Source organism: Homo sapiens, chromosome 2 (assembly GCF_000001405.40).
Source record: "Homo sapiens chromosome 2, GRCh38.p14 Primary Assembly".
Lineage (NCBI taxonomy): Eukaryota > Metazoa > Chordata > Mammalia > Primates > Hominidae > Homo > Homo sapiens.
This window is the reverse complement of record NC_000002.12, coordinates 147,921,264-147,938,748: the sequence shown is the minus strand read 5'-3', so window position 1 is coordinate 147,938,748 and position 17,485 is coordinate 147,921,264. Positions and strand designations below refer to the sequence as shown.

Here is a 17,485-nt window from a genome sequence, read left to right as displayed (position 1 = left end):
CTCTAGATAAATCCTACGCAAAGGCCCTGTGTGATTTAAAGTCACATAACAATTGAAGTTTATTTTGTTTACTGTGGGCCATATGGTGAGTGCCTGATAATATTTCGCCAATCTTTGTGACATTTCTAAAAGTTTAAAAATATCCTTATTTTGCAGATAGGAAAAAAACTAAGCTCAGGGAGGTTAAGTAACTTAAATTTATATAGATAATTGAAACACATTGAAATCTAGAAGAATCTTGACCTTCTTCACCCCTCAGAACCATAGATCTTTCACTATATTGTATTCTTTGGAGAACAGTTATTTCAGTCTTATATGTCATTAAACTGATAGTTTTTTTTCCCTTTTACTGTAGGTCTATCAGTCTTGGAAATCTGTCTTATAATAGCAATGAAACATTTAAATGACATCTATGAGGAAGAGCCATTTAATTTTCAAATGGTCTATAATGGTGAGATGAGACTTAAGTAGCTTTTTTCTGACTCTTCCCCACTGCTTATTTGAAGGTATAATGTTGTCATTGCTTTCTACTCAGAGTTTCAGAAGTTTGTTCAAAGGAAAGCACATTCCGTTTATAATTTTGAAAAACCTGTTGTCATGAAGGTAAGATTTAGTTTGCTGTCATTTTTCTACAGACAAGTATATTTTTTACATCCAATTTGATTATGTATTAAAATTGCACTTTCATTTTTAAACATTAAGTATTATAGAGATTTTTTTCAAAACAAGAAAATTATCTAAAAATGAAATATTTTGGAAAAATCTGAGGAAGTGACCGGTTGTTTTAGTTTGTGGAGGTATACTGCCCTCTGCTGTCTCTTCAGAGCACTTGCATCCCGAAAACAACTATTCAGTATAGTGTGTGATATAACCTTTCCCTTTCCAACCCAAGGATTGGCTTTTATAATCTCAGCAGTAAAAGGAGAAAACAATGAAAATTAGAGCCATTAAGAAACTTAAAAGACAAAATCTTATTGGCCTGTGAGGGCATACAGAGAAAGTGTTATTTGGGGGCTGAGTCATGAGTTTTACAACTTCAGGACTTCATGTAGATTACCATTGTCCACTACAAAGATAATGTGAGCCATGTAATGTAGTTTTAAATTTTCTAGTACCTGTAAGAAAAATAAAAAGGTTTAATTTTAATTATATATTTAATGCAACATATCAAAAATGTGTCATTCTATAATCATTATAGAAGAACAGTAAGGTATTTTACATTCTTTTGAATTAAGTCTTTAACATTTGGTGTACATTATATTTAAGCACATCTCAATGGCCTAAATGTTTACTGGAAATTCTTGCTGTTTAGATTCCATAAAATGTATAGCTGAGAAAGTAAATTTACATTTTGAAATTGTTCTAAACATGCTCAGAATTTTCTAATAGAACTAAATATCCATTTTTAAGTTTAAAAAAAAATTGAGTCACACATTGAAGTGCTCAGTAGCCTAGCGTGGACAGTGCAGCTCTTGAAGATTTTAAGGAAAGAAACTTTTAAAACAGTGGATTCCCCAAGTCCATTGGCATCCCTTATAGGCCCTAGTAACCAGAATTTCATTTCTTGTAGCAACAAAAATGAGTACAGAGCATTGCCATTTCTTCAAAGAAACAGGAAAAGTATTTTACAATACTGGAGGGTTTTTTTCCCCTAATAGTCTTATTTTGTGAGAGCTGTGAAAATGGAAAGGTTACCCAAGTATTTAAATTTTTTTTTTTTTTTTTTTTTTGAGATGGAGTCTCCTGTCGCCTACGCTGGAGTACAGTGGCGGGCGCAATCTTGGCTCACTGCAACCTCTGCCTCCCAAGTTAAGCGATTCTCCTGCCTCAGCCTCCTGAATAGCTGGGATTACAGGCGTGCACCACTATGCCCATCTAATTTTTGTATTCTTAGTAGAGACAGTGTTTCACCATGTTGGTCAGGCTGGTCTCAAACTCCTGACCTCATGATCCGCCCACCTCGGCCTCCCAAAGTGCTGGGATTACAGGCGTGAGCCACTGCGCCCAGCCTGCATTTAAATTCTCAATAATTTGTAGCTGCTCATTTCTGAATTTTCAATTATGAAGTATTTTGCTATTTAGAAATGTTTTAAATCTGCACAGTTCTATTCAGCTCTTAACACCTGCAGCCTCCAGTATTTTCTCATGTTCAGATATGAAGGTATCTGAGCTGTTTCTCTATCAGAAGAATTTATGTGATACATAGAGAATATGTTCCAGTGATGTTTTTTACAGTGAGTTGTAAGAATATAATAGAATCCTCAGGAATCTATTTCAGTGTATCATTATTTAATGGTTAGTATATCATGATTTAATGGTTTTTTTTTTCATAACCTAATAACGTACCTAACACAACACTCAAGGTTAGAAAAGATATAATAGGTGAATATTAAGGATAAGAGGAAGTAGACAAGAAAGAGCCCTATTAAGATGGGGAAGATGGAAGAAGGTTGTGACAGTCTCAGTCAGACTTCTTAGAGGAAACAGGAGCCTGTCCCTTCTCCTCCATGTCCATACTAGCCTGCTGAATCCTTTACTTACAGGATCAGCTGAATATGTCTAGTTGACTCAAGGGTCTTTTTCTGCCTCCCTCTGTTACAGCTGTGTTACCTTTTTACATAGCAAAGCAAAAATAGAGACAGACAAAATATAAATGCAAATCTGAGTAGCCTAGGGAATTGATCAGAAAGTCTTATCTGATTCTTAGGTTTTTACAGAGAACTGGAAACTATTTATTAAAGTACTAGGAGGAGCTATGATAGAGAATGAGGCTAGGAAGAAAACCATATTGTATATATTGAATTAAAGTTTGCCGTGTTTACATTCAACAATATATGGACAAGTAAGTGTGCACTGACACTGTTTTACCTGATAATATGAGTTTTCATGGGGTTGTGAGAGTTTTTTTAATCCTATTGATTGTTGTTACATTTTGCTTCCCAGTACTCTGTTCTGCAGCTGACCAAAATGCTAACTGTTCTCTGGGAGAGAACAGGAGAGTTGTCACTCTCCTCTCCTATTCAACCTAAACTATTTCTTTCATCTTTCAGGCTTTTGAACACTTGCAGCAATTAGAATTAATAAAGCCCATGGAAAGAACTTCAGGAAATTCACAGAGAGAGTACCAGCTGATGAAACTGCTTTTGGATAATACTCAAATTATGAATGCTCTGCAGAAATATCCCAACTGTCCTACAGATGTGAGGCAGTGGGCAACATCCTCACTAAGCTGGTTATGAATATAACCAGTGACTTCAACTTTGGCATTTCATTCATACTTCTGTAGAGAACGGAAAACTATTGTCCATTAACATGATATGCTAAACATTCTATAAACATTCTTGTATTTATGTGAGACTTGCCCATCTACTGTCTTGGCTGTGTCTTGCCTTTTAATCATGAACAGTTACATGATTTATAATTTCACTGATTGAGATTACTTTGTAAGTAGCTGTTCAGAAGAATAAAATATGACTGTTTTAGGGACTAGACCATGTGCTTTTTTAACACTTATATATATAATGGTCTATTTGAAGAGCTCACTTCAACCTAACAGCTAGATGTCTTTACAAACCTTAAACCAAAGGAGTAAAAAAAACAATGGTAAGCACTGAAGTATAATAAGTAACCTTTGGTACAGCAGGTTTGCTGCAGTGTTTTTTTCTGTCCACATGCAAATTTTGGATTCTATCCCAGACCCAGGTTTTCTAGTTCAGAAGACTAACCAGCTTAGTCAGAAGATGGTTCCATGGAAGAAAAAGGCCAAGGAGTTTGAAGATTTTTCTTCTAGACATCTCAAAATGTGGTACTCATACCATCCACATCAGAATCCCTTGTAGGATTTTCTAAAATTACAGATTGTTGAGCCTACCATAGGTCAAAAGGACTGGAATTTTCCTTCTTAACAAGTATAGTCATGGCACCACGTAACATTTTGGTCAATGACATTGTATAAAGGGTGGTCTCATAAGATTATACCATATTTTTACTGTACCTTTTCTATGTCTAAATATACAAATGTTTTACCATTGTGTTACAGTTGCCTACAGTATGATTACAGTAACATTCTGTACAGTGCTATAGCTGAAGAGTAATAGGCTAGGCTATCTGTATAGCCTAAGTGTGTAACAGGCTATATACATATCATCAGGGTCTGTGTAAGTATACTCTGTGATGTTCATACAGTGATGAAATCACCCAAAGACACATTTCTCAGAACGTAGCCCCATCATGAAGTGACGTGACTACCAGAGATTTCTGGAAAAGCACTCCCAAAAGTAATGAGATGTGTATGGCAATGTTAACTGAACCTGTTTGTATTAAAAAGTAAATCCCTATGAGGAATGTGGAAATGTCCGTCAAAGCATTGTCTTTTAAGTAAGTTCCAAGATCCATGAATTAACAGAGGCATATATTTAAAATGAAATTTAATGAGCACTTAGTGACTTCATTTGTTCAAGAATATTTGATTTCCTATTGTGTGCATGGGAGGTTTACAAAAGACAGACTGTCCCTATGCTTGTGCAGCTTACAATCTATTTAACTATTAGAGGCCCTGTGAGATGTAGGCAGTTATTTACAGATGAGAAAACTAACACAGCAGTGGCAATGCTGGGAATGGCCAACAGGCTTGGAATTCAACTCAGTTTAGCACCAAAGCCAGTGCTATTAAGACCTGAAGTTCAACAGTGGATTCCTTACCAAATAGTTTTTAAAGTATGCTCTAAGGAACAATGTTTTAATGAAATCTTGGATACAAAGTGGAATAAAAGGTTTCTGAGCATAAAGTAGCTCTTCAGTAGTTACAACCTATTCTTTTGCATACATAGCCTTTCCTTCCCTGCAAAAAGTTAAGCCTGCTAAGTATTCAGATCCCTGTCATTTACTTCTCAGCAGTCTCATTCAAGCTAAGGCTTGCATACTCAATCTGTGCCGTAGTCTACACATTTTTAGGGGATATTTCACCAAAATACTTGACATGGTAACATCACTATTATATACTAGAAGCAAGAATTTTACACTTATGCTCTAAGTGATCCTTTTAAAAATTTTCTGAACTATTTGAGGAAAGTATTATTTGTCTTAAAGGGTAACAGCCTCATGAAATGACTTGAGGATTCCAATTTCTTATTAGCTTAAGATGTCACTTAAAAGCTGACAGCCCTCATCTGTCTCATTGGCTACATAAGAGCTGCAGAAGATCCATCAATAACCAAGTATAAAGAAAGATTTTAAGACTAAGTACCAATTGAGGTAAACATGAAACCGTTATAAAGCAAATTAAAAAAAAATACATTAGGAAAAGTTACACAAATGAAGTGTACGCCTATTATATTCCCAAGGCATTTTTGTGGGGAGGAACAGTGCTGCTTGTTGGCCTTTCCATATTCCCTCATACAAAAATGCTAAAATCTATTCGCAAGAGTTTTGAGCTAACTTCGTCTCTTAAATTGCTTTAATTGTCATCAATAAAAACAAATATGAAAAACCCTAGTTTAAAAAGCGGTTCAAGAATAATGTAAACTTATACATATAGCTTATTTTCTTCATTTACTAGAGGAGGAAAAATAGAACCAAAAAATGCATGAACTCCTGCTTTTCAATCTGATTACCTCAAACTGAAAAGCAGGTGAAAGGAGGAATATTTCAGTGTGTTTTTACATCTGAATCCAAGGGATCCAAGTGGCCCAGCAGAAACGGAATTCTTGTTAAAATGACTGATTCTCGTGCATGTGAAAGGCTCTGGGGAATGAATACCTGTTTGGTCCAAACTTACTGTATCATAATGCTGTATATGTTGAAAACGTAATACCTGTTAATGTCCTAATGAATCACGTTTTGCAGAAAACACCGTAAGAAACACTTCAGTCTTTCTGTAGTTTCCATGCATATTTCACCATGGTTCGCACTCTGATCCTCATCTGGTTTAGAAAGCAATTCAGTTTCTTTCAAACCACCATAACCTAAGTGCTGCCCCATCCTTCACCTTTACCCTAGAAAATCTGAGAATCCATTGGTGTGTACTGTGTGACACAATGCCAACAAGCCTCTGGTTTCTAATACTGGCAGGACCAACACACATACTTTAGTGGGAATATAATCTGTTTAGACGATAATAGAGGGAAATGCCATAATTAACAAATCTCCCTTCACTCACCACTATCCTCATTCTTGCAGTTGTCAAGGTGTAAGCCTCACTGTAAGTTACAAAGCTACCACTCCCCTCTTTAAGAACACATAGCTTAGGATTGCCTTGGCGATGTGGGCTCTTTTTTGGTTCCATATGAACTTAAGTAGTTTTTTCCAATTCTGTGAAGAAAGTCATTGGTAGCTTGATGGGGATGGCATTGAATCTGTAAATTACCTTGGGCAGTATGGCCATTTTCACAATATTGATTCTTCCTACCCAAGAGCATGGAATGTTCTTCCATTTGTTTGTATCCTCTTTTATTTCCTTGAGCAGTAGCTTGTAGTTCTCCTTGAAGAGGTCCTTCACATCCCTTGTAAGTTGGATTCCTAGGTATTTTATTCTCTTTGAAGCAATTGTGAATGGGAGTTCACTCATGATTTGGCTCTCTGTTTGTCTGTTGTTGGTGTATAAGAATGCTTGTGATTTTTGTACATTGATTTTGTATCCTGAGACTTTGCTGAAGTTGCTTATCAGCTTAAGGAGATTTTGGGCTGAGACGATGGGGTTTTCTAGATATACAATCATGTCGTCTGCAAACGGACAATTTGACTTCCTCTTTTCCTAATTGAATACCCTTTATTTCCTTCTCCTGCCTAATTGCCCTGGCCAGAACTTCCAACACTATGTTGAATACGAGTGGTGAGAGAGGGCATCCCTGTCTTGTGCCAGTTTTCAAAGGGAATGCTTCCAGTTTTTGCCCATTCAGTATGATATTGGCTGTGGGTTTGTCATAGATAGCTCTTATTATTTTGAAATACACCCCATCAATCCCTAATTTATTGAGAGTTTTTAGCATGAAGGGTTGTTGAATTTTGTCAAAGGCTTTTTCTGCATCTATTGAGATAATCATGTGTTTTTTGTCTTTGGCTCTGTTTATATGCTGGATTACATTCATTGATTTGCGTATATTGAACCAGCCTTGCATCCCAGGGATGAAGCCCACTTGATCATGGTGGATAAGCTTTTTGATGTGCTGCTGGATTCGTTTTGCCAGTATTTTATCCAGTTAGAATGGCAATCATTAAAAAGTCAGGAAACAACAGGTGCTGGAGAGGATGTGGAGAAATAGGAACACTTTCACACTGTTGGTGGGACTGTAAACTAGTTCAACCATTGTGGAAGTCAGTGTGGCGATTCCTCAGGGATCTAGAACTGGAAACACCATTTGACCCAGCCATCCCATTACTGGGTATATACCCAAAGGACTATAAATCATGCTGCTATAAAGACACATGCACACGTATGTTTATTGTGGCATTATTCACAATAGCAAAGACTTGGAACCAACCCAAATGTCCAACAATGATAGACTGGATTAAGAAAACGTGGCACATATACACCATGGAATACTATGCAGCCATAAAAAATGATGAGTTCATGTCCTTTGTAGGGACATGGATGAAATTGGAAATCATCATTCTCAGTAAACTATCACAAGAACAAAAAACCAAACACCGCATATTCTCACTCATAGGTGGGAATTGAACAATGAGATCACATGGACACAGGAAGGGGAATATCACACTCTGGGGACTGTTGTGGGGTGGGGGGATGGGGGAGGGATAGCATTAGGAGATATACCTAATGCTAGATGACGAGTTAGTGGGTGCAGCGCACCAGCATGGCACATGTATACCTATGTAACTAACCTGCACAATGTGCACATGTACCCTAAAACTTAAAGTATAAAAAAAAAAAAAAACATAGCTAAAGAAAAACTGCATATGCAAATCATACCGTATTCATTTTTTTATTTAACTTGGGGATGGAATGGGGATAGCATACATTTTATTTGTACAATATTTAACAATCACTTATCCAAGGTGGGGTTTTATGGGGATTTTAAGCTTTCTGTTAAATACTTGCAGAAAAAATAGCAAGTACGATTTGACAGTAGTACAATAACCTGTGCCCAAAACACAAGAAATACAGAGTAAAGCGAAAATAACTGCTTACCAATATTCTGAGAGGTAACAAATGGGATATGGGTTGAGACTGCATAAAAAACGTACTGCTGGTTGAATATCTGAGGTAAATGATGTTCAATCAAGATGCTACTTGTATCATTTTGCCCATAAATGGATAAATAATTTTATGCATATCATACCAAATGTTCCTAAAAAGTAATCTTTCAAAAAAGTATAAAAGAGAAACTGGAAAGTATCTGTGATGAAGCTTCTTTCTTTAAAAAAAAAAAAAAAAACAAAAAAACCAGTAATCAGTTTATTCCACTAAACCACCATCTCGCCATGGTTTTTTTTCCCCTACCACCTGCATTTTACTTAAATGTAGCTGTTACTTAGGGGTGAGGAAATGCAACAGAAGAGATTCTTTTTAAATTTCATGATATGATTCTATTTTAAATTCCAAAGGTGTTGGGTTTTTTCCTGATTGTATTTTCAAAACATCACCATGAAAGATAGATAGTGCAAGTTCATGGGACTAACAATCGTGAAGCACAGTCTCTTTTTCTGGAATTCACAAGGTACCTAGAATTCAAACAAGAATCACACATCACATGCTAAAAAAACTTCTAGCATCTAAAATACATACAAGAGCTGTGCAGGGCATAGACTTCAAATAAAGCCGAACACTGGTTAATCCATCAGTCCTATGGCAAGTTGATCATAAAGCATTCCTTACGCGGAGATCTGGGCAAGGTAAAGAGTATAAGTTAGAGCAGCAGCAGTTCTGATGGGTATCAGAAAGGCAAAATACAAGACGAGTCATGAGGAGCACCATACACATGAGGAAAGAGTTATTTGGGGGGTCTCAGTTTGCCCCAAAATGGATCACCATTTTTCTCATTCTTTGATCTTTTTTTTTTCCAGTATCTCTAGCTCAAACTTTCTGTTAACTTGCCCACTCTGCACTGACTGTAAACCAAACACTAAATACCCTGCAAAAGAAAGTTTTAACAAGACTAGGTATAAGGACAGGTAGTCACTGGAACATTCTTATTTTACTGCTTATAAAAAGTTTTTCTATTAATAATAGTTCTCAAAAGAATACAAGTTTTAAAATTGGTTAGCTACAGTTAAATACAATACCCAGGATTTCTAAAAATTTTTTCTAACTTGAAAACATTTTATATTGTGAATAACTGGGTTTAAAAATTTTATCTCTAGTACTCACATAAGCCAAACATTCATCATAATATCCCTTGTTTATTTTTGTTTAACTTTTAAAAAGAAAGTTAAATGTTCACAACAGGTAGAAATTCATCTTCAGGAAATTAATGATTTTCTTGTATGCACATTCTCAATATTTTCCCTTCTTGATTAGTTTTTAAATGGAAGCAAAACCAGATCAAGAAATTGAGAGACCAAGTACTTTGTGAAATAAAGAGGTGAACTCAACATTGAAAAGGGAATTGCTAGGAATACAATGAATGAGACCATGGGGACACACGTGACAGTTCTGAATGGTCTGCAGCACACAGACGCTATTACTCTTCTTTTCCTCCCTGCTTAAAGTCTGTTGACCTATGTATTGTTTATAAATAACATAATTAATTTACTATTCCCAGAGATTACGTACATATATGTAAAATGTAGTGTACTGTGTGGTTAAATAACCATTTGAAGACAACACATTCACAGTGAGCTCCTGACAGTGACATGTAAAAAATTCTTTTATAAAATTAACATGGATTTTAAAATGACCTGACAGAAATACACAGCATAATACTGGCTATTTGTTGATTAATTGATTGGTAATCTGGAAATTCAGAAAATTAATGTTTTACTTTTTGGCCTGTATAAATTTGAGGAAGAATCCAATTGTATTCTAACGTAATATTGTTTTGAAAAGCACTTTAGCACCTGCCTACCATCAATTCCATTTTCTTAGCAAGGATAAGGCATGAACTATCCTAAATTAGTATCAGTGTTAGTTGTAAAAGCAATTTTGGGGAGGAGGCTAGGCTATGCTACCTATATCAACATTGGTTACCTCTAAATGTCATTGCATATTTTAAGTTATACGTTTAATTTGTTATCCCTGATTTGTTTTAAAGCAGTAACATCTGAAATCTGCTTAAAGTTTAATATCTTTATCCTAGGATAATTCTTTACATATCACAGACATCAAATATTACTCTGACAAGATGGCACCAAGCAGAAGTATAGTGATAAAGTTACAAGTCTCATAGCAGACAGTGGGGAATTCTGGGTAACGACACTTCCTGAGGTGATCCTAAAACAGTGATAAAGAATGTCCCACACACTGTTTGGTGAAAAGAAATACACTACAATTTTACATATATAAATAGAAAAAACTCTATTTTAAAAGATAAAATGAAGAGCTTTCCAGTGTCACAGCTCACTTTAAAAAATTTTAAATCATGCTTTAAATTTTCAAATATTCCCCAAACACAGCACACCTAAAAAAAATACTTAGGTAAGTATGCAAATTTTGGGAACTGGATATAAGATGGGGCTTTAAAACATGGGAAGAAGGGGGAAATGACACCATCTTTTCAAAAAACAGCACTTTTTTTCCCTACATTACAAGCCAGCACAAGAAATGCTAAAACACTGCTTTACGAATGGCCACTTATTGTTGGCACTAAGCATAGCTTACCTTTTTTTCCTTAAATAACACAGTGAATTTGTTACAAAACATGGATCGATTTATTATTCAAATTTTGTTAGTGTTTTCAATTTTATAATTTAGCAACCGTGGAACTGAGGTATACCTTGTTGAGGGAGGTTAAAGTAATGCTTGGAAGCCTCTTTACTGTACCCCACTTTGATGACTTTATGTACACAGAACAGCAGCACACTAAACATTCACAAGCTGTGTCATATTGGCATTACAATAGTCATTTATAGAAACAACAGCAAATGCAATAAAAACAAGTTACCCTTTTTAAAATCTGAAATGAAAAGTTTTTGATTTAAAAAAAATAGCAGTAGTTCATTTAAGGAATTAGTGTCTTCTGACAGACATTAAGAAATCTGATGTCAGTTTTCAAACACTCCATTAGCCAGGTCCAAAAGATCCTTGATTTGGAGAGGGCTACATTCTTCATGTACACTTTTTCAAAAGTTTCTTTATAGAGTTTGCAAGGTTTCTCTTAGTCTCATGTCCTTCACATCTGTGCTGTCGGCAATGCAGTAAGTCTCCCAGAGCAACATTTTTCAACAAAGGGTCTTCTTTCTTAACATTTCCAAGAGACATCCTACTCATTTTACACAGAAAATAAACTGTAAGCAGTTTCTTTAGCTTAGCAGCTCCAGTTCAGAGTCCCATTTCTTAGTGTGCACAGATGGCGCAACCATCATAGACTAGATTCTTTGGGAGGAAAGTCAACATTTGTCACCATTGTGACCACTGTTACAATGTCCTCTGTGGTAATAATATTTGTTAGTCTCTGCATCTGGGTAATTCTTTCACCTACACATCCAGCTGATAACCTGGCTTCTGCGTCGTGATCCCAACATTCTTCAATGGTTTCACAGAGCATTGCCATTCCCTAAAAGGAGAAAAACATATACTCAAACGCCACAGCAGTTTTTGTTTTCTATTAGGAAACAATAAAATTTTCATGAAGAAATGGCTATTTTTCTGGGTCAAAGAAGTTTCTGTCAACATTCACTTTTATTGACTACCATGTGCAGAATCATAAAGAAAAGCACAAACAGAACTTTTTTTTTAAGCATGAGACTATCACAAGAGGAATTTTTTTAACTCCAAAAAAAAAATCTCTATCCCTTGTTCATAACCCAGGTCATTTCAATGCTAACCCTTCAAATGGACTCAAAAATCAAGGATAAAGGGGACCTACCAATTTTTATTGTTTTCTTAGTTAATATCAGCATTTCTATCTTACAATTAAACAGAAGATCAGAAAGCCACCCTTGGGATTTCTCTACCTGGTTTTAGCCAGGTTTCTAGTTATATTTAGACTGAAATAACCAGGGCAATACTGTTATGTGCCTGGTCTCTATAGTTTTAAAGCACTATTAAGACTTGAAAGTCTAAGCCGAAATTAAAAGGCTACAACAAACTCCCATGGAGAGGAGAAAACATGGTGCTTCATAAACTTTTTAAAATGTTGTCATATTGGAAGTGGTCATCAGCAAAGTTACCCAACTATCCACAGTTTCCGAGTCTGGCATGCCTTTTCCCTGGGAAACTTTCTAAATAGATGACACAATCTTCTGCACAGGACCATTGAGACAAAAGCCCTCTAAAGCTCTATTACTTTACAATCACCTTCAGGGGTATACAGACATAGCCCTAATTCTGCCTCTAGAACTCTAGAATATCCTGTGTGAAGATCACCTTCCAGAAAATACTTGCAGAAGAAAGAGAAATGTGCAGAGATAAATAATTCCTCTGAAAAGTGTTTTATTGGAATTTCAAATGAAAAGCTAACTGGATAACTTACAGCATGTTTCTGCCAATAATCTCTTAAAACAGGCCTCTTTTTTTTATGCACAACAACTTCCTGCATGTCTTCAAGAGATGGATGCTGGCCAATTTCCTCCTCAAATGGCAACATGTATTCATCTACAGGTCCTGAAAAGTAAGAAAAGTAAAATAAATCATTTTCATTAAAATCCTCCTGACTTTCAAACTGGTACAAACTTTCTAAAATATACTCTGTCACCTATTCCCAACTGTTTACATGCTATGAGGACAGAAGAGAAACAGACTCTCAACTGTACTTATACCACAGTGTGACCAAACTAATGTATGGGAAATGAAAAGGCCTATAATTTGGCATGTAATTCCCTTAAAGATTGCATAAGGGGCTTTCTTATCTAGGTATAAAGGATGCCTATTTCCATCTGCACAGAGGACATAAGGAACAATCAGTATTTGTAAATTAACGTTATATAATATCCCTTTAAGGTACCCATTCCTTACAATTCAGATCAGAATGTTAACAGTGGTGCTTCCAGCTCTGGAGGCTCTAGGTTCAATCTATTATAACCATGTTTATTCTATGGCATATCCAAACCCCCTGCATGCCCCACATGAGGAATTATGCACCTCAGAGTCATACCTCTTCTCTACACTCCCTCACAACAGCTGCCAAAAAGTACATGTTTATTTTTTAGAAAATCACAAACAGGCTCTCCAACTAGGGGTCCCAACAAGTCAGGATGTGCCTTCATAGACAACATTAAACAACATAAATAATTCCTTTTTTCTTAGGCCTACTCAGATAAATAGAAAATTGTATTTAGGAGTTAATAATAACTAACATCCAGTAAGCACCTATCCTGATCAGAAACTTTACATATATTACTTACTTCACAGGGTTAAGATGGCAGTACCTCTATTTACTGATAAGAAGCTCAGAAAAGTTACATAATTTGCACAAAGACATACAGCTGTTAAACGGTAGAGCTGGAATTGAACCCAACTCTCTAAATAACTCTGAAGTCTGGTTTTAATCACTGGATTGCCTTCCTTTGACAGACACAGGTCACCACTGAGCAGTATCAGTGACCAGATAGATGTATGTGTGCATAAACACAAATTTTGTGAAGCTCTTGAAATGCACTAAATACTCCTGGGTAGAATACAATGAATCATAAAGGGGTCATCTAACTTAACCCTCTTCAAATATAAGAATTATCTATGGCTGGACAGTTGGTCTCTGCTTGAGTACTTCCAGTGACAAAGTACCGACATTCTAAGGTGTCTATTCAACACTTATGTGGTGTACAGGCCAGCAACACTGCCGTCAACTGGTAGCTTAGCTTTTAAGAAATGTAGACTCTCAGGCTTCAACCCAGACCTACTGAGTCAGAATCTAAATTTTAACAAGATTCCTAAGAATCTGGTATGACACATTAAAGTTTGAGAATTACTTCATTTAACAAACAAGTAACCATCAACACACGTGAAAGCACCTACTTTAGCAATCAATGCTCACACTATCCTCTCTACCCCAATTTCTGACTTAACAATTGGGTTCTGACTTAAGAGTCAGAAATGCCTGACTCTGAAATTATTTCATGGCATTTAAGAAAAGTCAGTATCTAGCCTTTTCTTTTTCCAAAAGAACTTCTCTGAAACCTCTCTTCCCCATAAACAAAGCAATTTCTCCCCTAAACTCCTAAAACACATGCTTGTATTTCTTAAGTATTGCACTAACCCAGAAACATTTATTGAATACCTATGTACTGGGGAATGGGCCAGACAACTCACACTTAACTTACTCTAGAGTTAATTGTCCAGGATATATTTTATTGCCCTAACTAAACTGTATATTACTTGAGAATAAGGTCTTGTGTCTCCTAAATTACTTAATCCAATGATTTGTTATGGAGAGTTCATATTAATAAAGTTCTTATAAAATATATTTTCCTATAACATCTGCCATCTAACCTACTTCTGCTTCCATAAATGCACATCATAAATGTCATTCCTCTTAGAGTCAAAACACTCTGCGTTCTTAACGCTTCTTCCTAAAGACTTCTGAAATTATTCCAAAATTGCTTCAACTTTTCTTAGGTTTGGCATTGACTCCCAAGCCAATCCCTCAATCCTGGAAGAATGCCCATTTCTGAACACTCTATTAAATTCCCTTTAATAGTACCCTATATTGAATTTCATATTCCAGTGGCAGTCTGTCCTACAACGAGAGCCTATTACAGTACTCAGAAAATAAAATATTGTTAGTAACATAGGTTACATTGGTTATAACTTAAAATATTCACAATTTCTTCTATGGTCTTTGACAATCACAGGAAGTTTTTAGGCAATTATAAATTAGAACTTAAGAAACAGATCAAGCTCATTTACATCTGTTTAGGAGTTTAGCAGTCGGCAAGTTTGCCTTATATTATTCAAAACAAAAAATGCTGCAACATACTTGAAGACAGAGTAAAGACCTTATGAAGGAGTACTAAAGACAGTGCTTGAAACACTAAAATAGTTCTGTCACACTGGAAATATCGTCTGAAAATTTACCCAGAAAAATAAATAAATAAAAGCAAATATCTATAAGACTTGAACATGGACTTCAATAACAAGAACAAGTAATAGAAACCCTTTAACCTGGGGGGCAGGACCCATATGACCTTAAAGCAGACCTCTCCCTATGTCTGGATCAGAGTTTCAAATCTAGGTTTCATCATTCACCAGTTTGAGGCTAAAGTAGGCAAACTACTTAATTTCTCTGCATCTCAATTTCCTCATATGTAAAGCATAATAACTACCTCTGAAACCGTTTTAGGAAATAACCTTAAGGTATGTGAAGTGTCCAGCAACATAGCTAGTAATGGTAAAGGATCAATACATAGCAATTCCTTTCCTCTCCTACCCCACCCACTGCTCCCCTGCCTCCTGAATTCTCTACCATCTCTTGGAGTCAATTAAAAAAAAACTGTACTTTAAAATATTACCTTGGAGTGTATCATCCCTTTTCATATATGTGTGGTAGGCATATATATCTTTTTTAAAAATATTTTTTTCCCTTACCATCTGCAGCAGTACAGCGAGAAGCCAGTTCCCATAGGACTAATCCCATGGCATACATATCTATCCTCAAAAATGCATCCCTTTGGAAGTTTATAGCACCCTCTAATACCTCTGGAGCCATGTACCTCCGGGTACCAACCTGAAAAAGATGTTAAAAGCAAAGAGTACTCATTCATTAACTTTATGAACTAACATATGATTTTGTAAGATGAATCAAAACCAAATGTGGTCTATTACCAGGGTAAGGTATACACACTATAGCGTATAAATAGAAAGATCCTTTCTGCGTATACTTAAAAAATATATCAACAGACATTATGCTGGTACAGACTTAGAAGTTTTTATGTTCCCCTTTCTGGATGTAATCACAAGAAACTGAACCAATTGTCAGCTGGGAGAAGGATGCTGCATACTTTTCAACTGTACCTTTGCATACTGTTTGAAATGTAGCTTTAAAAAAAAAACTTTTTTTGAGGTCTTTTCTCTGTATTAAAAAAACTAATAAAATGTTATAAAAAGAATTAGCTAAGTAAAGGACAGACTGATGTTAAAAAGTTCTATCTGTACAAAATCTATGTATTTGTTTATTCATAAATTCTTCTGTCTTGGAGTCCTTTATTTATAACTGTCCCCAACAATTTGGTATTTCTTAGTACTGTAACTATGGTTACTAAGCTAGTACAGCTAGCTTTGGTTGGTGCTTGACAACATTCATATATGAATGCTTAAAAATATTTGTGAGATAGCTGGGTACATCACAACATACTTGCGATGTATTCGAACTAGAGAGTAGTCTAGATATTGGTACGTCCATAACGCTCCATCCTTAGGTGGCTATAATCTCTACTCTAGACTAAAAGTTGGGCAATTTATGCAAATATACATGTAAAGATTTTTTTTAAGAATAAAGACAGATCACTAAGACTAAAGTTCAAGGAGAACACATTAAAGGGAAAAGTGGCTCTACTTTTAAAAAATTTACTACTCAGAATAATTATTTTAATTGTGCTATCAGTGAATGTTTCCCTAAAGCCTACTTTTCTCTTACAGGTAAATGTATGCCATCCAAGGTACCTACCTCTTTTATTGTAAGATTATGGTTTATTTACCATGTTGACATAAAATGTTCCCTCTTTTATATGTGTTCTTTGTACTATATAAAATGTGCAATAACATGCAAGTCCCTCCAAATATTTCTGAAATTTTCTGGTCCATGAAATCTAAAGTCAAGGAGTCATTACTGTAAGCCAATAATTTTTAACTAATCATAAAACCCAGTTGTGAAGGAGTTAAAAATATGACATGAATGAGTCAGAAATTTTTTTTCTCAAAAAATGAGGGAGGGCTTATGAGGTACCAAATTAAGAATATGTTCCCAGAATTTAGTCTTATGATAGTCTATCATTCAATTAGCTTAGAAGTTTGTCCTCAGGCTTCCTACACAATCTTGGTAGTATTCTCCACAAAATTGCCTCCATTCCCATACACATTTGCAGTCAACTTTTCTAGAGCTATATGGCTACTGACCATTACCCCAAACTACATTCTTAAATAGTTAGTCAATACTGCCAAAATTGGTGGTGCCATGACATTAAAAACGTGTCCTCAGGAACCAATAGGATATGCTGGGGAAAAGAAACCTAAGAATTAGTTGGCCAAATAATTTACATGATATGAAAGATGAAGAAATGATAATGTCGAAGGCCTGAACCATTTAGCTTTGTAGAAAATGTCACCTTTTAGGTTGAACTGGTTTCCCTGATTAAAAGGTGATCTTGGCTGGGCGTGGTGGCTCACGCCTATAATCCCAGCACTTTGGGAGGCCGAGGTGGGAGGATCACTTGAGGT

At 35.7% G+C, this 17,485-nt stretch overlaps 2 protein-coding genes across 14 annotated transcripts in view; one reads left to right on the top strand and one right to left on the bottom strand.

The window, feature by feature from the left end:
• ORC4 (origin recognition complex subunit 4) overlaps window positions 1–8,353 on the top strand; it is a 91,156-nt gene extending 82,803 nt beyond the window's left edge. For 9 of the 10 annotated variants that reach the window (NM_181742.4, NM_001190881.3, NM_001190882.3 and 6 more), the window contains 3 exons: window positions 356–451; window positions 536–603; window positions 3,051–8,353. In NM_181742.4, coding sequence (NP_859526.1) covers window positions 356–451; window positions 536–603; window positions 3,051–3,239 — 353 coding nt within the window. In that variant the 3' untranslated portion in view covers window positions 3,240–8,353. Of the gene's footprint in view, window positions 1–355; window positions 472–535; window positions 604–3,050 lie in introns of those variants that run through there. The other variant, XM_047444573.1, reaches the window with a different exon arrangement.
• The window catches only part of ACVR2A (activin A receptor type 2A), an 86,306-nt gene continuing 76,747 nt past the window's right edge, over window positions 7,927–17,485 (bottom strand). For all 4 annotated transcript variants that reach the window (NM_001278579.2, XM_047446292.1, NM_001278580.2 and 1 more), the window contains 3 exons: window positions 15,638–15,776; window positions 12,588–12,718; window positions 7,927–11,669 (listed from right to left, as the gene is read on the bottom strand). In NM_001278579.2, the coding sequence (NP_001265508.1) occupies window positions 11,475–11,669; window positions 12,588–12,718; window positions 15,638–15,776 (465 nt within the window). In that variant the 3' untranslated portion in view covers window positions 7,927–11,474. The remainder of the gene's footprint in view (window positions 11,670–12,587; window positions 12,719–15,637; window positions 15,777–17,485) is intronic.